Source organism: Homo sapiens, chromosome 12 (genome assembly GCF_000001405.40).
Source record: "Homo sapiens chromosome 12, GRCh38.p14 Primary Assembly".
Classification (NCBI taxonomy): domain Eukaryota; kingdom Metazoa; phylum Chordata; class Mammalia; order Primates; family Hominidae; genus Homo; species Homo sapiens.
This window is the reverse complement of record NC_000012.12, coordinates 118,861,199-118,884,974: the sequence shown is the minus strand read 5'-3', so window position 1 is coordinate 118,884,974 and position 23,776 is coordinate 118,861,199. Positions and strand designations below refer to the sequence as shown.

The following is a 23,776-nucleotide window of genomic DNA, read 5'->3' as shown; positions in this document are numbered from 1 at the left end:
AAATTCTCATACTGGGGAAATGTATTAGAGCTTGAGAGAAGCCAAAAATTTATTCTTCTGGGTAGCTCTTAAATATTCCAACTTGCATTAGTTTTCCTAGCTGATGGAAAATCTATTTTACTCCACATTGTTCCTTTTTAGAGAACAATTCAAGTCTCTCTTAGTGGATGGAGAAAGATGCAGACAGAAGCAAGAAGAATGCAGGAGGCTACAAGCTGTAGGTTCAAGGAAGCTTTGGTGCCACAAAAATTCACAGGACCAGAAGGCAAAAGCCTTGGGTTTGTGTCCTTACTCTTTTCAGCCAGCTCTTGGAAGCGACCCCTTCTACTATAGACATGGCTTGGTGTTATGAACTGTTTTAATGAAAACCACATCTGTTCCTTTTTCAACTTTCACCACTAGCTCATTTGTTTTTTGTTTGTTTTGTTTTTTTTATTCATCCTATGTGTATAAGGCATCTATTGTAAGCCTGAAACTGTTCTTGTTGCTGAAGAAATACCACGAGGAAATGAATCAGACCTAGATCTGCCTTCACAAAATGTTTCAAAGAAGTGCAGAGTTATGACAGGAATGCATGATGACCTCATGTAGTCTTGGGGGTAGAGGGGAGGAAGTTCAGGGAAGGCTTCCTGGAGGAAGTGACATTTAATCTGAGACCTGGAAGATAAGAAGTTAGCATTCAAGTTTTTCCTTGAGGAGCAACACAGAAAAATGTTCCACCTTTCAAATTTGAAGTTAGCTCTCTAGCCTCCTTTCCTAGCACTGTCCTATGCTGTCACTCTACTCTGACCACAGTGGTCCACACTGAGGACTCATCTTCTCCCATAATAACCTTCTCTTTCCTCAGACCACACAATTCTAGGCCCTTTATCATCCTAATTGACCCCACTATCAAGAGGCTTCATTTTGCCAAAACTTCTAAAAAGGTGATGCATCTTCATTAATTTTTATTCTTGGACTTCCTACCAAGTGAACCAAGGATGAAAAATTATACATCGATGGCAACAAAAAAAAAATCAGAGTTTTCTTATATGCACAAGGCTCCACATCAGGAGTGCTTTTCTTTCTATTTGGAAGTGTTTCTAGAAATTGAATTATATGCCAAGCAATGAGCCAGATACTGAGAATAACATGATTTCATGCAAGTTGGCTTCCCCAGGAATCAGAAGTCAGGAGAGACTTAGGAATTCAAAGGGGTGACTGGGGAGTTCTACATGCAAAAAGGAAAGGGAGGAAGCTGAACTGAGCAGGAGGAGACATCAGACCCAACTGCGGACCTGACAAAGTCTCTGCTAGCCAAACTGGAGGCTCTGGAATAAGCACTGCCCTTTAGAGGAGTGACCCACTGAGCAGAAATGACCAGGTCTTGTACCATCCACCACCTTTCTGAGCTATAGATTAGGGGCTGTCTTGAGAATAGCATGCCCTCAGCTCTCATCATCTTGCTCAATCATTGGCCAGGGGTTCTCCTGAGAATTATAACTTTGGTTTAAAAATTGAGGCAAATACTGATTAAGCAAACAGCTGGAGGTTGTCAGTTAGCCTCACTCATTGAAACTGGGCAATGAGTCCTTTCTTGAAGGAAGATCTGAGCAGTGCATCTCCATATCTGCCACAATGGTACACAAAAATGAAATGCTTGCTGCCCTGTGGAAGCCTGTAGCCTGGAAAGACAGACTCTGAGCTCTAATCACACAACAAATCTTATAGTAATGACTATAATTTTTTTAAAGAAAGCATTCTTGTACATTGAAAAATACAAAACATTGTTATAAAAAATTAAAGAAGACCTAAAGAAATGGAAACATATCCCATTTTCATGGATTGGAACACTTCATATTGTTAAGATGGCAGTACTCACCAACCTAATCTACAGATTCAATGCAGTTGCTACCAAAATTCCAGCTGCCTGCCTTTATTGCAGACATGGACAAGTTGGCCATAAAATTCATATGAAATTGCAAGGTACCCCAAAACAAACTTACAAAAGAAAAACAAAGTTGGAGGATGTTCATTTCCCAATTTCAAAATTGACTGCAAAGCTACAATAAGCAGAACAATGTGACACCGGAAATGATCGACACATAGATCAAAGGAGCAGAATTGGAAGCCCAGAAATAAACCCACGTGTTTATCATCAACTGATTTTCAACAAGGGTACTAATACCATTCTATGGAGGAAAGAATAATCTTTTCAGCATACGGTGCTAAGACAACCATATGCCACATGCAAAAGAATGAAGTTAGAACCCTACCTAAGATGAATACAAAAATCAACTCAAAAATGATCAGAGACCTAAATGTAAAAGTTAACTCATAAAACTCTTACAAGGAACCATAAGTGTAAATCTTCATAACCTTGGATTAGGCAACACTTTCATATGTATGAAAACAAAAACACAAGCAACAAGAGAGAAAATAAGTAAATTGAACATGAAAATTAAAAACTGTCATGCATCAAAGGATGGTATTAAAAAAGTGAAAATGGGTGGCTGGGCACAGTAGTTCACACCTGTAGTCCCAGCACTTTGGGAGGCTGAGGCAGGAGGATTGCTTGAGCCCACGAGGCGGAGGCTGCAGTGAGCCAAGATCATGCCTCTGCACTCCAGCCTGAGTGACAGAGTGAGACCCTGTCTCAAAAAAAAAAAAAAAATGAAAAGGCAATCCACAGAATTGCATAAAATATTTGCAAATCACGTATCTGATAAGAATACAGTATCTAGAATATACAAGTCTTATAACTCAACAAAAACAACAACAGAAAACCAAACAACCCAATTTTAAAGTGGGAGAAAAAACTGAATAGACATTTCTCCAAAGAAGATATATAAATGGCACTAAGCACATGGAAAGATGCTTAACATCATTAGTTATTAGGCAAATGCAAATGAAAACCACAGAGATATCACTTCCCACCCACTAGGATGGCTACAATCAAAAAAAGAGGAAATTATCAACTGTTGGTGAAGATGCGGAAAAATTAGAACCCTTGTACTCAAGAAGTCAAACAAAGAACTACCATATGACACAGAAATTCCATTCCTAGCTATATACCTAGGAGAATTGGAAACATATGTTCAAACAGAAGTTTGTACACAAATGTTCATAGCAGTATTATTTATAATAGCTAAAAAGTGGAAATGCTCCAAATGTTCATCAGTGGATGAATGGATAAACAAAATGTGGTATTTCCATACAATGGAATATTATTCAGCCATAAAAAAGAATGAGGTGCTGACACATGCCACAACATGGATTAACTGTGAAAATATTTTGCTAAGTAAAAAATGCCAGTCACAAAAGGCCACATATTATGTAATTCCATTTATATGAAATGTCCAGAATAACCAAATCCATAGAGATAGAAAGTAGATTAGTGCTTGCCAGAGGCTGGGGAGAGCGAATGGGGAGTGACTGCTTAATGAGTACAGGACCTCTTTTTGGGGTGATGAGAATGTTCTGGAATTGGATAGCAGTGATGGTTGCAGAGCATTGTGAATATACAATAAACCACTGAATGGTATACTTTAAAATGGTTTAAAAAGTGAATTTTGTGTTATGTAGAAAAAAGTGAAGGAGAGAGAAGAGGTGCACGGTGTGGTGAGAACAATCTAATAGGAGAGCCCTGCCTGGTCTCGAGCAGTCACGGAAGGCTTGAAGATAAATGGCTTTTTTTATTCTTCTCAAGGCCCATCTCCAACTTTCAGGGGTTATATTGCCCTGACTGCTGGGGCTTTTTTGATAACCCAGGTTTCCAGGAGTGGATGATGTAGGTGAAGATCCCCGACAAGGTCATTTTCTCTCCCCAACTGAACAGAAAGAAGAAAGAGCTGGGGGAGGAGAGGAAAGTGTGCACAGGCATCACCCAGGAGGAAGACAGAGAGAGGGGACAAGAAAACATTATTTTCTTCCTTTTGTCTCCAAAGCCAGATGACAGAGAATGGAAATGAGGAATGTAGATCAAAATGTAATTTTCCCTTACAAGCTGCAGTGAGGCCAGGGGCTGGGGTGTGACCTGCCCTGGGGAGCTGCTCACATGGCAATAACTCACCACCAGCTCTGCACAAAAGCAGTGCTTATTAAAGGTCAAACGGAGCCAGCAAGGGGATAGTGGGGGAAGGGTTGATGGAAGCAATAAAGGGACACAAGAGAGACATGGGGCCATTGGGAAGGGCTGATTCTGATTAAGAATTTGTCCCAAGCAAGGCAGAGGTCAGCCATTCAAGTCAGGAAGTGATGCCCCTGACACCCACCAGGGACCCCTGGGCTGGAAAATGCTGCCTTTGTCTTTATGAACCAAGAATTTCCCTGGCCCCACGCAAAAATCAATAGTGAATCAATAAAACACTGGCTTGTATGAGAAACAATTATCGGCAAGCCAGAAAAACAGCATTGGGAGCCCTCTGCCTCTGCTCACCTGCAAGGTAGATGGGGAGGTTGCTAAACTCTCAGAGGTCAGATGGCTGAGGAATGATCTAACTACCCAGGTGCTCAGGACTGGTTAATTCTTCATCATCATCATCATCATCATCACGTAACTTCTACTATCTGTCAAACATTCTGCAGAGCTCACAATCTTGCAGAATTTTCTCAACAACCCACAAGTGCTGTTATTATTCTCATTTTATAGTCAGGAATACTAAGTCTTAGAGAGCTAAGTCATCTGCTCAATAGCACTTAGCTACTGAAAAGGCAGAGTTAGGGCATGACACCAGTCTATCCAACCTCAAACCCTGAGCTCTCAGCTATAATAATAAACGGCCTCTCACAATAATCAAGTGACTATTGAGTGCCTACTATGTGCCTGGCCATGAATGCTTTTCTGGGATTTGGGCTGAGTCTTTTTTCCCCCCTCAGGGCCTCGGCGTTTTCATTGATCACATGGGGAGTTATCACTGATGCTCCTATCTAGGAGGGAAGCTCAGAGTATCAAGTCAAACTCAGAGCTTCATTTCGCTATCCAAATGAATATCCATTTAGAAAATGGGACCTCTGTGCACCTAAGAGGCTGTCTCTCTCACCATCTTTCCTGTCTCTGACATGCCTAGCATGCAGGACAATGCCAGAACAGACAGGCATCAGGGTTCCTAGCCAAGATCAGAACAGAACCTGGAGAGGGAAACAAAGCATGAAGGCCACAGGGTGAGGAAATGGGGATGAGAAAATGCGGTTGAGTGGATGACAACCCAACACAGGCCTTAAATAGGCAGGGTCCAAACTATCAGACCTCTGACACTTCCCTTTGAATGGATATACAACAACCCCATGCTAATTGGTCTTGCCCCTGAGATGCTGAGGTTCTGTGTTTTTAACATGTGTACACAAGTTTTTAATTTTTTTTAAACGCTTGGTGATATAGTTTGGATATTTGTCCCTGCCCAAACCTCATGTTGAATTGTCATCTCCATTGCTGTAGGTGGGTCCTGGTGGGAGGTGTCTGGGTCATGGAGGCGAATTCTTCATGGCTTGGTGCTGTCTTCGTGGTTGTGAGTTCTCACGAGATCTGGTGATTTAAAAGTATGTGGCACCTCTCCCCCTGCCACTCTCTCTCTCCCTCGCTCCTGCTTTTGCCACGTGATGTGTATGTTCTTCCTTCACCTTCTGCCATGGATGAAAGCTCCCTGAGGCTTCACTGGAAACCAGCAGATGTTCGTATGATGCTCCTTCTAAAGCCTACAGAACCATGAGCCAATTAAACCTCTTTTCTTTTCTTTCTTTCTTTTTTTTTTTTTTTGAGACAGAGTCTTGCCCTGTCGCCCAGGTTGGAGTGCAGTGGCACAGTCTTGGCTCACTGCAACCTCTGCCTCCCGGGTTCAAGAGATTCTCCTGCCACAGCCTCCTAAGTAGCTGGGATTATAGGCTCCCGCCACCACATCTAGCTAATTTTTGAATTTTGGTAGAGACGGGGTTTCACCATGTTGGCCAGGCTGGTCTTGAACTCCTGACATCAGGTGATCCACCCGTCTTGGCCTCCCAAAGTGCTGGGATTATAGGCATGAGCCACCGTGCCCAGCCTAAACCTCTTCTCTTTATAAATTACCCAGTCTCAGGTAGTGCTTTATAGCAATGCAAGAATTGCCTAATACACTTGGGTTTCCAGTAAGGGCTGCTTGGAAATCCTGAGAAGCACCCACCTCCTCAGGGCACGGGCTGCAGAAATGTTTTCTTTTCCGAACAGCAGAAGAAAGTAATTCGGGAGGTGAAGAGGCAGTAGAGAGAACTGGGAAGTCTCTTGTGTGTGAGCATGCGTGTGTGTTACCATAATAGGTTTTTAAGATTAGAAAGTTCTAGAACTTTTATTCATTTTGACATTTGTTTATTTATTATTTTTTTGAGACAGGAGTCTCGCTCTGTGCCCAGGCTGGAGTGCAGTGGCGAAATCTCAGCTTACTGCAACCTCTGCCTCCCAGGTTCAAGCAATTCTCCTGCCTCAGCCTCCTGAGTAGCTGGGACTACAGGCATGTCCCACCACGCTCGGCTAATTTTTGTATTTTTAGTAGAGACGGGATTTCTCCATGTTGGCCAGGCTGGTCCTGAACTCCTGAACTCAAGTGATCCACCCACCTCCGCTTCCCAAAGTGCTGAGATTACAGGCGTGAGCCACCACGCCCGGCCTATTTTGACTTTTAAATACCTGTAGGTAATGCCATTTCATTTGCTTCCTCCTGACCCAGTAACATCTGCAAGTCTTGATCTTGCACACAGCAGCTTTGCTGAGGTAACAGATGCTTCTGGTGCCCAAGTCACATCCCCTCAGCTCTCCACTGACTGTGGCACGCTGACATCATCCCACCTAAAGTATCTTTCCAGAACCCAGAACCTCTCTGCTTCTCTGCCTCAATGCTTTTTCTAAAGCTGCAAGAACCTGTTCAGCCTTAGGCAGGGGAAACCCTGGAAGTGCAGGGGGTTAACACCCCTGTAACTGTAATAGGTTCATTGCCCGACGTGCCCAGCAAGTCAAGACAAGACACCAGGCTGCAGAAGAGAAAGAGGTTTAATTAAAGGGTCACTGAAATCTCAAATCCATCTCCTCAAGGAATTTGAGGTTAAAGTTTTTTAAGGTTTCTGGAGTGGACTGAAGTCTGGAAGCCACTGATTGGTAGAAGAATGCTGGGTGAAGTCATGGGACAGGGAGAGGAAGAAGCTGTATTCACAGGCTGATCCCATTCAGAATCCTGTGCCTGAAAACCAGCCACACCCACCCACAAGAGCTTTGTGGGGAGATCAGAGGGAGCACATCTTAGACCCGATCCTCAGCTTGTATGAGGCTTTTGGTGTTGCTTTGGGGGTAGTCATATCCTAATCAACACTTAAAGTATCATTATTAGCAATACTGAGCTAACCAGAAGGGAGGGGCCAGGATTAAGAGAAATCAGGCAGGCCGGGCACAGTGGCTCACACCTGTAATCCCAGCACTTTGGGAGACCAAGGTGGGCAGATCACGAGGTCAGGAGCTCGAGACCAGCCTGGCCAATATGGTGAAACCCCGTCTCTACTAAAAATACAAAAAAATTAGCCTGGCATTGGGGTGCGCACCTGTAGTCCCAGCTACTCATGAGGCTGAGGCAGAAGAATCACTTGAACCCAGGAGGCGGAGGTTGCAGTGAGTCAAGATTGCGCCACTGCACTCTAGCTTGGGCGACAGAGGGAGATTCTGTCTCAAAAAAAAAAAAAAAAAAAAAAAGACAGGTAGGTCTCGCAGGTAACAACAGTGTAGGCAGGCAAGAAATAAAGTCCAGAGAGGTCACCTGCGGCAAGTCGAAGAAACACCTGGCCCTGAGACTAGGCAGGGAGCAGAGCCCAGAGGAGCCGAGGGGCAGGTGAGTCCTCCTTAGGGGAATCCTTGTCTTATCCTGCAGTTGTTCTCTGCACCCAATCTGCCTCCTGCTAATCAGCAAAACCCTGCAATCAGCACCTTCAAGAAGGTTTTAAATGAACTCATTAGGTTGGTGCAAAAGTAACTGCAGTTATTACCATTGAAAAACTGCACCAATCAATATATGAACTTTAACCACAGACCACCTCAGTGGGGGCATTTTTGAGGGTTCCCAAAATGCTGGAGTCGAGACAGGAAGAGTCAAATCTGTGCCTGGCATACCCTTGCTGCTTGTTCTTGCTCAGCCTTCATCTCCTCCTCTTCTCATAACATCCTAACATTTCGCTTGTGCAATGGCTCTCCTCCAGCCCCAGTCAGTGTGCAGCCCGATCAAGATCAGGAAACTGAGGCCCATACACAGGTGAAATAACTTGCTCAATGGCATACAGTGTGGTGAAGCCTGACTCAAATCCATGACTTCAAGGCTACAGGGGTTAACCACTCTGCAAGTCCTCTTGGTCTAAGCTGCAAGTCTAAGCTGATCCTAGATTTCAAGGGAGGGTCAGCTTTGGGGTGAAGTTCAAGCAGAAACTGGGATTTGTTGGCTCACCTTTGGCCTCAGTCTTTTTTTCAATCAGTGAGAAAACACTTGCATAGCAAAAGCAGGGAGAGAAGTGAGTTCATTAAATCGCTAATTCTCTCCTTCCTGTGCCATCCCGAACACAGCCCCCACAGTCAGCAAAACCTGCTATCTGCTTCATCTGATCTTACTCCATGCCACAATTTATTTTTGAAATTTTTTTCCTTGTCGTATAATGGCAACATCCAAAAGGCTCTATTGATTTCTCGACTGCAGACTGCAGGTTTATCGAGGCTGAGTCAGCCCAGCCCTCCACCTCCACTGGAGTCTCCATTCAGATCTTTATCTCACCTTTTCATAGCTTGAAAGACTAAGTTTAGTTAAGACTGTAGGGATGGGTCCTGAGGGTTGCATTCATAGTCATAATGAAACAAAATTAGAAACTACTTTAGATCTTAACAGCCTCTGTATTCACTGTGCTGAATTACAACAGAGGAGGGAGTATGAAAATGGAGGTGAAGTTAGTACTTAAGATAAGCTTGTAGTCTTGCTGCAGCCACATAATTTACAGGAGGGCAAAGCCGACGAAAACTTGAACTTTGCTTCGATGCAGACATCAGGCACCTAGAATAAATGCTCAGCCTGGCTAGGTCTGTTCTTCATCCCCAAATGGGGATAATATCATCTACCGTCCAAACTACATCACAGACTTATCAATAAAATTAATAGTCCTTGGTAGAAAAATACTTGCGAACAAATCATTATTATTTACATGCCCTCCAGACTCAGTCTTCATACACTGAAGGGAGTTTTAAAATCTTGCTTCCTCCAAGAACCTTTCTCTCTTTTTCATTCACTTATTCAGAAAACATTCATTGAGCAGACATTGGAGATAAGAATTATTTTCACCCACCCTTATGCTCTCATAGACAACCTGCTCATTCCTCCTGTGCTAGACAATTCATATGCTCTACCTCATATCTTCTTGGCCCACCTGTCTCGCTCCAGCCATTGATACATCACTGTTCGCAGGTGTATTTTCTTAGCATCTTGCTTCCACGGCACCACATACTGCTTGCTTTCTGCTGTAGGGCTTGATCCAAGAGCCTTGCTGGTGCATATGCAAAACTGGAAATGTGATGGAGTTAACACCCCTTAGGGCAACCCTTGACCAAAGGAGGACAGGAGCTGGTGGATAAATTCGCCCCTCACCCATTCTCAGGAGGCCATTGAGATGCATTTTACACAGTTCTCAGAGGGGCCCTATTGAATTTGAGCCCTAGTTGCCCACATCTTAGCTCAGTAACACACCTTTAGACTGGCTTTCCCTATTTCAATCTTCCAAGCCACCTTCACCTGTTCCCTGGCAACTCTTCCCAACCAGTATACCTGCATGCAAGCTCTTCTCTCAAGCTCTGCCTTCAGGGGAAAATCTGAACTAACACTCCATTTTTTCAAAGAGGTATTTCCAGTCTCTGCTAGTTAAGCAGCAGGCAACATGATCCTATCCATTCTTCCCACCCCCTGGCTCTAGTTGATTGGCCTGGGAGTGAATGATTGGCAGGAGCTAAAGTCAATCAGATTTTCTCTTCCTTGAGAATTCGGAACGCAAACTATTCAATCTGTGTAGGACATTTGAAGCAGGTGGGGATTGTAAAGCCTGGGCTGGGAACAACCATGTGCCCATGGAGGGGAGAAAACCAGTTTGCAAACAGAAAGAAACGAAGATCACACAGCTTTGGAGAGACACAAGAAAACTGCTAGGTTCCTGGTCACTTTTTGGTTTTTGGTTCAAGTGCCATAATTGGCCCACTTCCCCTTCCTATTGTTGGGTTCTCTGAGACTCTTTTATTCTTCTGATAAATACGTTTTTTTTCCTGCTTGTACTAGCTTGAGTGAGATTCTGTTATTTGTAACCCAGCAGTTTCTAAATCAGAACATCTTGTTATGCCGGGCACTCTGTTAAGTTCTGGTTGTATCATAATGAACAAGACACAGTCCCTGCCTTCAGAGAGTTTAGCATCTAACTGATTAATAAAAATGAGGTAGTGGCTCAGTGTCTCACAGCATTTTCTATATGTCAGAGAGCTAATCTTTTTCATCATAGGCCTGTATATTGCTTCATTCATAATAATCATTTATTAATTCATTCATAAACATTGCAACCATCTTCTAATCCTTACCATGTTAAGGGCACTGCACTAAGTGCTTTCTTTATGTGTTTCAGATCTCTTCACTCTTTACTGAAATGGTTCATTTCTTTAGTGTTAGAGACACAGCAGTAAATAAGATCATTTCAAGTTATGATAAGTGCTGTGAAGGAAATAAATCAAGTGATGTGATAGGGAGAAATTCGCCAGGGTGGAGAGAATAGAGAGAAAGTGTTTTAGATGGAGAAGGAAGATAGTCAGTGAGGGCCTCTGCATTTGAACTGAGACTCAAAGAATGAGAAGCACAGAGATGTGCAGAAAACCAAAGGAAGAATATTCCAGGTAGAGGGAAAGGTTAAGTGCAAAGGCCCGGAGGCAGGAATGAAATGAAGGAATAAGTGAATGACTGGACTCCAAGTAAGACAACTGCCCCTGACCCTTGAATAACATCTGTGGTTCTCAGGTGCACAACTATTATTTTTTTTTTGAGATAGATCTTGCACTGTCACCCAGGCCAGACTGCAGTAGCAAAATCAGCTCACTGCAGCCTCAATTTCCTGGGCTCAAGCAATCCTCTCACCTTGGCCTCCCAAGTATCTGGGACTACAGGCATGCATCACCAGTCCTGGCTAATTTTTTCTTATTTTTTGTAGATATGGGGTCTCACTATGTTGTCCAGGATGGTCTTGAACTCCTGGGCTCAAGCAATCCTCCTGTTTCAGCCTCCCAGAGTGCTGGGATTAGTTGTAAACCACTGCACCCGGCCCACAATGAATTTTTTAAACTCACTGCACAGTGAGTTAAAACAAACAAACAAAACAAAACAAAAAAACCCACCCAACCCTAAACCTATATTTAGGCTACTAGTGCTAGCTAGTAGCTAGCTGTTTTAAAGTAGATAGGCTAGAGGAGTAGCCTAAACATGGGTATGTTTTAAAAACAGTTTAAAAAGCTGTTTTTAACAGTTTAAAAAAATGGGTATTTTTTAAAACAGTGAGTTTTTAAAACATACTCATGTTTAAGCTACTCCTTTAGAGATTTAGATTCTATCAGTCTAGGTGGAACACAATTATCTTTTTTTTTTTTTTAAGTTCCCAGCAATTCTGATACAAAATGAGGGTGGAGAACAACTATACTTGATGGAAATTAGTACAGTAGAATTTAAATAAAAAGGAAGCAAGCAACAGGGAAATGTGACAGCTGGGCATCTCCCAAATCTGGGTTCAATTCCTTGGTTCCTGAGGCCACAGTCTGTATCCAGGCAACAGTCTCCCAAATGTGGAATTGTGGAGACTGAGTGAAAGGATGTGGACGCATCCCAGCAAGGAAGTGATTCATTATAAGAAACTTTGTCAGTGTTACCAGACCCTCCCCAGGCTGGGTCAAGCCCCCACTTCTCTGCTCCTCAGCCCCCTTGCTTTCCCCACTAAAGCATTTATCACATGGTGTGATATATGCCATTCCATGAAGGCAAAAACTGTCTTCTTCCTCATGGCATCCTATGTGTCTCTCAGGCCTCCACTTAGATGCTGCTTCTTCCAAGAAACCATGCTTGACTTCACCCTAAGATGGTTTAGGTGCTTTCATTGGGAGTTCTTTATTATAGAAATTATTGCCCTATTTTTAAACTGTATTTACATATGTCTCCGCCAATAGTCTGGGAACTCTTCAAGTTTGCTATTGTACTCATTATCTATTTCACTGAAGAAAAATGGATCTGGCCAGGTGTGGTGGCTCACGCCTGTAATCCCAGCACTTTGGGAGGCCAAGGCGGGCAGCTCACAAGGTCAAGAGATTGAGACCATCCTGGCCAACATGGTGAAACCCTGTTCCTACTAAAAATACAAAAAAAAACTTAGCTGGGCATGGTGGTGCACACCTGTAGTCCTAGTTACTCGGGAGGCTGAGGCAGGAGAATCGCTTGAACCCGGGAGGTGGAGGTTGCAGTGAGACAAGATCATGCCACTGCACTCCAGCCTTGTGACAGAGCAAGACTCCATTAAAAAAAAAGAAAGTAAGAAAGAAAGAAGGAAGGAAGGAAGAAAAAAAGAAAGAAAGAAAGAAAGAAAGAAAGAAAGAAAGAAAGAAAGAAAGAAAGAAAGAAAGAGAAAAGAAAAATGGACCTGCTTTCATGGAGCTTATGTCACCATGGTGGCAGGACAGGCAATACGCTCACAGTGTGTCAGGTAAGTGCCCTTGGTGTGATGGGAAGACATGGAGGCCATTGGATGGTTCTGAACAGAGGCATGATGTGACATCACCTTGTTTTGAAAGCATCACTGTGGACTCTGTTAAGAAGACAGCATGGGGGACCTGGCGCGGTGGCTCACACCTGTAATCCCAGCACTTTGGGAGGCGGAGGTGAGCAAATCACTTGAGGTCAGGAGCTCAAGATCAGCCTGGGCAACATGGTGAAACCCCATCTCTACTAAAAATACAAAAATTAGCAGGCGTGGTGGTGCATGCTTGTAGTCCCAGCTACTTGGGAGGCTGAGGCATGAGAATTGCTTGAACCCAGAAGGCAGAAGTTGCAGTGAGCCAAGATTGCACCACTGCACTCCAGCCTGGGCGACAGAGTAAGACTCTGTCTAAAAGGAGGAGGAGGAGGATGAGGAGGAGGAGGAGGAGGAAGAGGAGGAGGAGGAGGAAGAGGAGGAGGAGGATGAGGAGGAGAAGGCAGCATGGGGAAGCAAGGGAGAGTGCTGGAAGAGCATGGGTTAACCAGGTGAGTGGTGGTGGTAGTTTGGATGAAGCAGCAGCAGCAGGGATGGTGAGAACCGGTCAGATTCTGGGTAAGTTTTTTAATGGCTTTGCCTAGGTAGAATTGGCATATTCATAAACTGTACATACTTGAGAATACAACTTGATAAGATTTGATATATGTGTATACCTGAGAAACTACCACAATCCAGGTAATGAACATACCTACCTCCCAAACGTCTCCTGTGCCACTTTGAAATCCTGCCTGTCTCTGCCCATCACCAGGCAACCCACGATGTGCTTTCTGTCACTATAGATTAAGTTCTAGAATTTTCTATAAATAGCATCATTCAATACTCTTTCATGTCTGGCTTTTTCCCTAAGCACAATTATTTTGAGATTCACTCATGTTGTTCATGTACCAATCATTTGTTCCTTTTTATTCCCGAGTAGTGTTCCATTGTATGGAGGTAATACATTTGTTTATCCATTTACCTTTTGATGGACATTTGGGTTATTTTTCATATTCTTGATATATTTTGAAGGCAGTGCTGAAAGAATTTTCTGGTGCATAGGCCGTAACATATTGCAGAAAGAGCAGAGTCATGGATAACTCTCAACTTCTTAGTTTAACAACTGGGAAGATGGAGTTGACAATTACTGAAGTGGGGGACACAGCCGACTAGAATGAAACACCTCGAACATCCAGCACATTGCCTGGCACACCGTGAACGTTCTATTGATATCTGTCAAAGAAAGAATAAGGGCAGAGAGAACAAAAGGAGGTATACATTCAGTTTTGGATGCTGGCAATTCAAATCCTAAGCTTCAGGCCAAGCTTCATGTATTCTCTCCCTTTTTCCACATCCCCCTCACACTCCTGAAACCCAGGCAGTCATCATCATAAAGAGACTTCTTGGGCACAAAAGAGGTAGAAGGCAGATTCAATCAGAGCAGGATCGCTTGTTCTCAAATGGCCTCTGGTCCAGGAAGCATTGTTTTCGCCCCAGCATGGGGCTGAATGCACAACTCTCCTCTTTGGTTTCTGAACAATAAGCTTCCAAATTACTATCCACCTGGCAGATCCACTTGAGATCTATGAGCCTCTGAGAAGTCCCCTCCTTCTCCTCCATCCACCCTGTACTTCCCAAACACTCCAACATCACTAACTGATGCTTCACCAGAGCCAGGCACTAAGGTGAACTGTTATTAAAAGGCACACACATCAAGTATTTCAATAGCAAAAAGATATAAAAAGGCAATACACAAATGAACAAATACAAATGGCCAATAAATGTAAAGAAGGGAGGTGCCCAGACTCACCAGCACTCAAATGAAAATTTCTACAATCTTGAGACAACATCCTTTTCCTGTCAAATTGGCATAATTAAAACAAATGCAAATAAACTGACATTGGCAATAGTGTGGGGACACAGACAGAAATGTACTTTGCTGGTGGAAGTGCAAATTGGTACAACCATTCTGGAGGAAGTTTAAAAAGTGGCCATAGTCTTTGATCCAAAAATTCTGCATCTAGAAGTCTGTCCTATTTGAATAGTTAGGGATGTCTGTAAAGATATCCATGCCATCATTATCAATAATAGAAAATGTCACTAACAACCTTAACATGTTATAATGTAAGAAAACACAAACTCTGTTTTCTCTTACTGTACTCTCACCACATAATCAGTATAATACTTCTGATACCAGATATGTGGGTTTTTATCCTTACACATCAAGTAAGTAATCAGTTCTACAAGGGACACCAGCTGGAGGTCTTCTAATTCAATTCTGACACTATCTACCTGGAGATAACATCTGATCCCATAGGTTGAGGGCTCAGTTCCACAAGACTGCCCCCAACTTCAGATGCCAATTTCAAGTACTAGGTTGCTACCTATGCTTCTGACCAATCAGCTGTAAATCAGAGTTTCCGTGACCCTCTCCCTTGGGTTCAATTAATTTGCTAAGACGGCTCACAGAACTAAGGAAAACATTTACTTATGTTTACTGGTTTATTATAAAGGATATTACAAAGGATACAGATGAACAGCCAGATAGAAGAGACGCATAGGAGCAAGGTGTGTATGCAGGGGCATGGAACTCCCATGCCCTCTCCAGGCACTCTAGCTTCTGGAAACCTTTGTTAATCTCTCTGGAAGCTCTCTAAGTCCTCTCCTTTTGGTTTTTTATGGAAGCTTCTTCACGTAGACACGATTGATTAAATCCCTGCCCATGGGTGATCAGCCCCTCTCCCCTCTCCAGAGGTTAGGGAGTGGGGCTGAAAAGTCCTAACCCTCTAATCCTGCCTTGGTCTTCTCTGCTAGCACCTCCCATCCCCACCAGTCAATCTACTAGCATAACCAAAAGGCACTCATCTCTTTGAAGATTGCAATGATTTTAGGAGTTGTATGCCAAGAAAGGGAAACCAGAACAAAGACCAAATATATATTTCACAGTACCACAACATGTAAAGAAATTATGACACTGCCCATCAACAGAATAGATAAATGCATTGTGTATATTCATACAATGACTTACACAGCAATAAACATGAATGGACTAGAACTATATGCAACAACATGGGTGAATCTTTCAAACATAACAAGTGAAAGAAGAAAACAATAATAACAGATTACAATTCTATCATATAAAGTTCAAAAATAGGAAAATTAAACTATTTTTAATGATGCAAACACAGGTAGTTAGAATCTAAGGGAAAACAATAAAGTGATTTCAGTTAAAGGCAAGATAGTAGTTGTCTCCAGGGAAAAGGAAGGAGGGAGGAGGGAAATACGGGGAGCTTCTGAGGTCTTGGCAATGTCTTCTTTTTTGTCCAGAGTGGTAGTTACATGGGTGCTCAAATTGCTCTGATTCTTTATGCTGTGTCTTCTGACCTCTGGTTCTTTCATTGCTAACCAAGATCAGAGAATGAGATTCTTTCCTTCAAAGTTATGAAGGAAACATCTCTGAATTTACTAAAATTCAGCATCAGCGAGGGGGAGAAATAGCTGATACAGCTTGCTAAATTTCTGCTCTTTAAACTAATTAGTTAAATAAAAATGTGTCTGAGTTGGGGGAAGTGATGGAGGAGAGAAAGCAAAGGCCAGATAAGCAGGGGTCACAGATTCAGCCCCCAATATATGTAGCTTCTGTTAAGTGCTACACACTGATCTGGACATTGAAATAGAGTAAGAAGTGATCACATCTGGCCTTAAGGAACTCACAGTGCAAGGTATGTGGCAGGATAGCAGTGAAATCAGTCATTTCTGGGAGATGAGAGAAAGATTTGAGGCCAGAGAAGAAGAAAAAAAAAAGAAACGAGGGTATTTTTTCTCTGACCCGCTATTTATATTCTACCCCTATTCAGCAGCAGTTAGAAACTATCTGGTATTCAGAAGGAAAGAACTGCTTCTTCCTTCCTTGCAGGCTTAAGTTCAAGCAAATGTCAGTGCATCTAGTGCCCTTGCCTAGGAAATAACAAGATTGCAAGTCCACAGGAACAACTGGGTTCTCCCGGGTCAAAAGGAGATGATGAGAGTGGAGGTCAAGAATTCTTCATGTTAAAAGATATTCTAGCATTAAATTCAGAAGCTAAAGTGCTTATTTGCAATTATTGTTAATTAAAACAACAACAGTAACAGCAATAATAAGGATGACTCTGAAATTTACTGAGGAAACAAAGATACCAGATGTTTAAAGTGCATTATTTTATTTTGTTGTATAATATAATAGGTAGTATTTTGATATTGTTAAAATTCCAAAGGGGAAATGGAGAAACAGAAGTTAACTTACTGGACCAAGGGCACACAGCTGGTTGGTGGCAGAGTTTGTGTTAGAACCAGATCTGCCTGACTCCTAAGCACCATACTAGGAGGTATCACATGCATATACTGTTGTGATATAGGTCCAGCCTCCAAGAGGGGCCCTTAGCCATTTGGTACTGCTCTGCTTACTCCAGAAGCATTGACTTTGAGGGTAAGGGAATCTCCAGGCCAAGAAATGCAGGATGGCAAGCAAGAATTGGAATAATGTTGAATTGTTTTTGTGACTTTTCTCTAACAGTGCTCATGGTTCTTGGAGGGATGACCAGGCATCCTGAGGTCCTGGTGATAGGTGACTGTATTCCTGATGTAAGTTTGATTTATGTCTTAGTTTCCACTCTCTCCTCTCATGCTGGCCAGGGTCCTGGACCTTGAAATTGCTGAGGCGGAGGGAGAAGAGCTGGGGAGGAAAGTCTTTGGGCTCCATCGAGTCACTGGAGGAGGGATTAAATTAGATGTGGCAATTAATTGAGATCTTTAAATACTTCCCACTAGCATCAGGAGGAATCAGGGAAAGGGCAGATTCCATACCACTGGGTATTTCCTTCACCTCCTGGGTCAGTGATGAGATTTCTGCTGTCTTCCGTCAAATCACCTCCTCAGGCTACACCACTGTGAATCCATGGCTCATTCTTATGCTTCTGAGAGTGGTGAGATCATTGTCAGTGGCCTATGGGGAAGTGAATGAGACCGAGGACAAAGATTAAGAGAATACCGAGACTTGGGAAGGTCTTGAGGGAAAAGAGTAAAGTCATACAAGAGTTCCATGAATGATTCTGATAACGACAACCATTTGTTAAAGACTCAATACATACCAAGCTCTATGCTTACTGCTTTATTCCTATTATCTCATTAACTTCTCACAAGAAACCTACGAAGCAGGTACAATTATTAGCTCCATTTCACAGATAAATAAATTGAGGTTTATAGAGTTAAAGTGATGTTCTTAGGATACATAATTGGTAAGCTATGGTTTTGGAATCTGAACCCTGGCCTAACTTTTTCCAGTGGTTCATGCTCTTAGCATTACAAGATACTGCTTCTCAACTCAGAACAGTTAGTTCTGAAATGAATTTAGTAGATCCCAGACATTTAAAAATGAAATAGATGAGAAGAGGAGGGGAGGGGAGAAGGGAGGAATTATCAGAGTGCATTGGGTGTAATGAAATGTGAAACAAATATCAAACCGATATAAGCATTTATCTCCCACCGTGTGTGTGTGTGCACACATGCATCACCAGTTTTGCCATGTAAAATGTATTTTGCATGGTCAAATTGCTTTGAGAAACACTGCTTTAAGCTCTTAGTGTCTTCATTCTTTCAACAAAGTTCCAAATAGATGCAAGGTGCTGTCCGAGGTGCTGCCCAAGGTACCAAAAACACAGGTATTAATGCATGAGCCCTGTCCCAAAGAAATCCAAGTCCAGCACAGAAGACAGACTTAAAGAATGCCATATGCAAAGCCCTATGATGGAGGAAGCTCAGAGGGCTGAAAGGAAAGCTGAACACAGGTTAGGAGGAGGACAACTCTCAGGAAAAGCTTTGCAGAGGAGGGCCCCCACAAGCTGAGTCCTGAGGTTGTCAAAGCACATAGATGATGAGGTTCCTGGAAGAGAACATTGCTCTATCATCCACATAGTAAATGAGAAGTAAGAGTGCATCCCCATATTTGCTTCATGATAATGACAGAGGATAATTATTGAGCACTTACTATATGCCCCACTTTACAATCACAACAATCATACAAGGAGGGTCCAGGATGATCATCTCCAATTTATAGATGAGGAAATTGGGCTTCAGTGAGGTGAAGTGATGTGCTCAAGATATCATAGCTGAAAAAGTCAGGGACCAAATATATAGTTAAGCAGGTCACTCCAATGTGCATGTTCTCAATCACTGCTATATTCTTCCTCTCTAACCATACCAATAAAGAGTTTAGAAAGGGAGGAGAAAAAGCAAGGGGGACATTAAAGGAATGGGGTAGAGGTCAGGGGATCTTGAGGTCATGACTTTATATACATAAGCCCAACAAGCCTGGGAGGTAGGTACAATGATAATTCTACCATACAGATAAAGACAGTGAGGCTCAGAGAGACAGGGTGATGTCCTTCTCAGCAGCCACATCCATGTAAACCCTGGTCCTGGGTCTGCAATATCCAGGCTCCTGACTTCCTAATCCAGGGTTTGGGAAACACTCTTGCCTCTCAGGCCTTTGTGGGGAAGCCTCCACTGCTAGCCTAGCTGATGAGGCATCCCATCCCTGCCTGGGAAATGTGGGAGCCATGCACCAGTAGCCCCGAGCCCCAGAGGAGACGAGACTTCTAATTAGATGACTGTGTTCTGCTGTCTGCCCAGACTCTAGCAGACAAATGGAGATGAGATGAGAATCCCAAATCACTCTGTCTTTTAGGGCCTCTGAGGGTGGTGCCCCGGTAAGATGGCATTTCTGAAAAGTGGTGATGGGGCCTGGCTCTGGGATAGGAAAACAAAGAAGGGCTGCAGGAGGGAAGGAGAACTGGCAATGGAGTGTGGTAAAGACTTGATCCTTTCTCTCCCCACAAGGGAAAAAACAGAGATGAGCATTCATTGTCCTGCTTTTGAGTCTTAGGAAAGGTTAGCATCAACAGTTAGCTTTGTCAATTGGGAAGAGCCCAGCATTTGGGCAGAGAAGACAGGCTTTGCAGTCTTATTTCCCCTCCTAGCAGGTATATGCATCCTCTTTCATAAAATGGATGTAAAAATTGCCATACCTAGCCCTGATACAGAGTTCAGGGTGTGCCAGATTTTGTTCTAAAGTGCCACTTTTCATAATCAATTAGTTTAATCCTCAAAACAATTCTTCGAGGTAAATATGTCCATTATCCCCATTTTACAGATGAGGAGACTGAGACTCAGTAGTAATTTAGGTTATAAATGGAAGAGACAGGGTTTGAACCCCAAATGTAGGTCCTTAGCTGCTATTTTATGCCACTAGAAGAAAGAAATACATTATTGCAGATGGTGCTGCTTACTGAGCACATTCTATACCCATGTGCTCTCATTTAATCCCCCTGATATTGGTCTCATCAGCCCCATTTTACAGATGGGTCAACTCTAGGGCTTGGCGAGCTGTAGTAATGTGTATACGGTCCTAGAGAGGCCAGGATATAATCCCAGCTCAGGCTGATTCCCAAGCCCAGATACCTAGCCACCACACTGGTGGGCCCCCTTTCTGGCTAATCCTAAAAATCACCCGAGAGAGTGCTAAACATTCAGATTCCATTCGTATAGGCTTTCTGGAGTAGGTCTTAGGAATGTATGTTTAAAGTATACCCAAAGGGTTTCTAATTATGAGTCACTTGCAAAATTACATAAAATAATACAGAAATGTGTTGGCAAACTGCAAAGTGACATAAAAATGCTATGAAGTATCATAATAATAATAACGCATATCCTTAGTATTAATTAATGACAAGCCGTGGTAAATGTGTGCAAAGTTCTAATGAAGGTGATATCTGAAAAATGGAAGAAACACTTCCTGACCTCAAGAAGGTAGAAGTTTATCAGTTAAGATGAAGGCTGATTTGTTTGTTTATTTGTTTCTTTTTCAGGAGTGAGTTGCTAATAGAACATGCCAAGAAATAATAAGCTAATCCATGCTACTGCCAGCATAGAAAGCTGGTGGGCTTTTAATTACCTGTGTTCACAGAACAAAAGGAAGCTACAGTGTGTTTGAATTCCTTGAATCCATTCTGTCAGAGTGTGGGGAAAGGAGCTGAAAATATTCTAACCAGCAGGGAAGGTAGGTATATCACACTATGAATGCAGTGTCTGGGCATGGAAGTGGGAGGTTCTATCAGAAATGCGATAGAGCCAGCAAAAGAATATTATTGGACTTCCTAGCTCTCTGTGTATAGAAATCACCCAATTGTCATCAAGATAGAAACAAGCACACACTGCAAGCAGCACACAAACTAACTCAAATTGAACCCTATCTACTTAGCTAGGGTTCTGCTTATGATGTTCAGGACAACCATGACTTAGCATTCTTACAAACAAACATTTCTCTCTCTCCTTCCATTGCTAAATTTTTAATACTGTTTGCTCATGTTTTCTTTCACTCCTCTGATTCATTGAAAACTAAATTAAAACAAAAAATTATCTTTGCCCCTGGTCCTCTCTGGGCGCCCTGTTTATTTCTAACCCTGGCAAACCTTTTTAAAAGTACCTAGTGGTTTTCCCAGGATCCACTGATATTTTGCATCTGAAGATCCAAGAGAAGGGTTTAGGAAGTCTGCAATTTTTTTAAAGAGACAGGGTCTCACTTTGTTGCTCAGGCTGATCTCGAACTCGTGGGCTCAAACCATCCTCCTGCCTCAGCTTCCCAAAGTGCTGGGATTACAGGAGTGAGCTGCTGCAACGCAGCTCAGGAAAGCTGTATTTTTAACAAGACCCCCAAATTGAATTTTATGTGTAGACAAATTTGAGAGACACAGGGAACATCATCAGACTCATTCATTCATTCATTCATTCATTCAGCAATTACTTGCAGAGCACCTACTATGTGGCAGGGTCAAACTAAGACCAAGAGACATACTGATGAACAAAACCAGATAAGGTTCCCATACTCATGGAGCCTAGAGTCAAACAGAACAATGGAAGTGTCATAGAGAGTGCAAGAAATGTTTAAGGTCAAATTACGTGGGAGCTGGAAAAGGGAAAATCAGGGAGTTATGCTGGTCAGCCTAATTCAGACTGGAGGTGGGTGACCAGGTGAGGTTATCACCAGATGCAGCATTTTAATTAAAAGTTTAGAAGTGAACAAGGAAGAGAACGAGGCTGGGGTGAGAATCCAGGTGAGAAGGGAAGAAAGAGCTCCAAGGAGGGGAATTGCACATGTGAAGCACCTAAGACAAGAGGCAGAGACGCACCAAGGAACAGAAGGCGGGCAGGTGGGGCTGCAGTATTTTGACCAGTGTATCACAAAATCAGCATTTTGATCAATGTGTCACAAATTCAGAATGGAGTGGACACAGGGCCAGGTCCTCATGTGTCAGGAGTTTAGATTTGACCCTAAGACAGGTGAGAAGCTGCTGGAAGGTTTGAAGTGGGAATTGACATTATCTGAATTTACAACCTTTCAAAAACAGCAGAGGGCCTCCTCCCACCCCTATAGTACTTTAATCATCTCATGTCCATGGATAAGACTGCACTTTTCAAAACTGAAGAGTTGATTCCATTCTGGAATCCTGGGAGGAAAATTAGCCAGGAGTTGTGCTCTTCAGCCTCCATCCCACGCCCTTGGCCACTCTCCCAGAGGGTGAATAGAAGTCTATTTTGAAATTAAATGTGGGGTCACGAGGACAGGAAGGAAAAACCTCTCCATATGTTTGTGTGCTCTGCTCCCCTTCCTACCATCTTTTCAATTCCATACCTGCTGGAAATGAGTCTCTCTGCTGTGTTCTCCAGAGAGCAAAGTTATCAGAAAACTCCTCACACAATAAACACTGAAGAAGAGTTTATGAAGGGCCCTAGAGGAATGACATGCTGGGCTGGGCAAGGCCTGATTGCCCCAGGACTGTGGGTTATGAGCATTTAGGAGGCTGCACAGGGCATCTTGCAGGGTCTGCTCAGCATCCAGGACTCCTTCTGGTTTGGGTGGGTGGGGCTGGCTCCATATCTGCAGATAGGATAGCCCCGAACTGGCCAATCAGGTGTTCACATCACCCTGGTCTTATTGATTGACTGAATGATAGGATTATGAACCAATCACAACAAACAAGACTCTATCCTTTGAATTTGCGGGAAATGCCAGGAAAGGGAAATACCTCCATTTTGTTTTTTGGGTTTTCTTTTCTTCTCTTCTCTTTTTGAGACAGAGTCTCACTGTTGCCCAGCTTGTAGTGCAGTGGTGCAATCTTGGCTCACTGCAACCTTGGCCTCCCAGGTTTAAACAATTCTCCTTGCCTCAGCCTCTCGAGTAGCTGGGATTATAGGCTTCCGCCACCACGTCTGGCTAATTTTTGTATTTTTTAGTAGAAATGGAGTTTTGCCATGTTGGCCAGGCTGGTCCTGAACTCCTGACCTCAGGTGATCCATCCGCCTTGGCCTCCCAAAGTGCTGGGATTATAGGCCTGAGCCACTGCGGGTTTTCTAAAAGAATAGGATATGAGCCTGGAGCTGCTGGTTATCTTCTTGTTATCACAAAGGGAGAGCCTGCCTGAGAATGAAACCAACATGCAGTAACTAAGAGCTGAGACGGGGGAAGGGGAAAGGATGGGAGGAGACAGAGAGGAACAGAGAGAGGAGGCTACAGAGGATGTCATTTGACCCAAGGGATCCAGCTGGAATGGCCAATGTTTCAGTTACATGAACAAATATAAATCATTTTGGGGGCCTAATTATCTTTGAATTAGGCTTCTGTGTCTTGGGACCCAGAGTGCCAAGTCTTGCAGATGCATTCTCCCTTCTCCTCAAACTTTCACTGCATGTCATCCCAGCAAGCTTTGGGAATGTAGGAGATAGAAGTGGGTCATGCCAAGGGCTATCTGTGCAGGCTGTGTCTCTTTAGACATGAACAACAGGAGAATTCGAATTCCCATAAACGGGAGAAGAAATAAAAGTAGGACATAATTCAGTTGCAGCATGCAGGATTCAAACTAGACTCCTGGAAAGACTTCCTTAACCGAGAGATTCTCTTGAAGGAGAGTATTCCTATCAATAGTCT

The 23,776-nt window shown here is 43.1% G+C and overlaps 2 long non-coding RNA genes across 4 annotated transcripts in view; both read right to left on the bottom strand.

The window, feature by feature from the left end:
* The window catches only part of LOC105370019 (uncharacterized), a 48,831-nt gene extending 35,310 nt beyond the window's left edge, over positions 1–13,521 (bottom strand). For 2 of the 3 annotated variants that reach the window (XR_945424.1, XR_945425.3), the window contains exons 1-2: positions 13,476–13,520; positions 9,391–9,524 (exon numbers count right to left, since the gene is read on the bottom strand). This is a non-coding gene — a long non-coding RNA (uncharacterized LOC105370019). Of the gene's footprint in view, positions 1–9,390; positions 9,525–13,475 lie in introns of all 3 variants that reach the window. The other variant, XR_945423.3, reaches the window with a different exon arrangement.
* Positions 13,522–16,941: 3,420 nt separating this feature from the next.
* LOC105370018 (uncharacterized) overlaps positions 16,942–23,776 on the bottom strand; it is a 30,545-nt gene continuing 23,710 nt past the window's right edge. The window contains exons 7-8 of the long non-coding RNA XR_945422.3: positions 17,602–17,740; positions 16,942–17,504 (exon numbers count right to left, since the gene is read on the bottom strand). This is a non-coding gene — a long non-coding RNA (uncharacterized LOC105370018). The remainder of the gene's footprint in view (positions 17,505–17,601; positions 17,741–23,776) is intronic.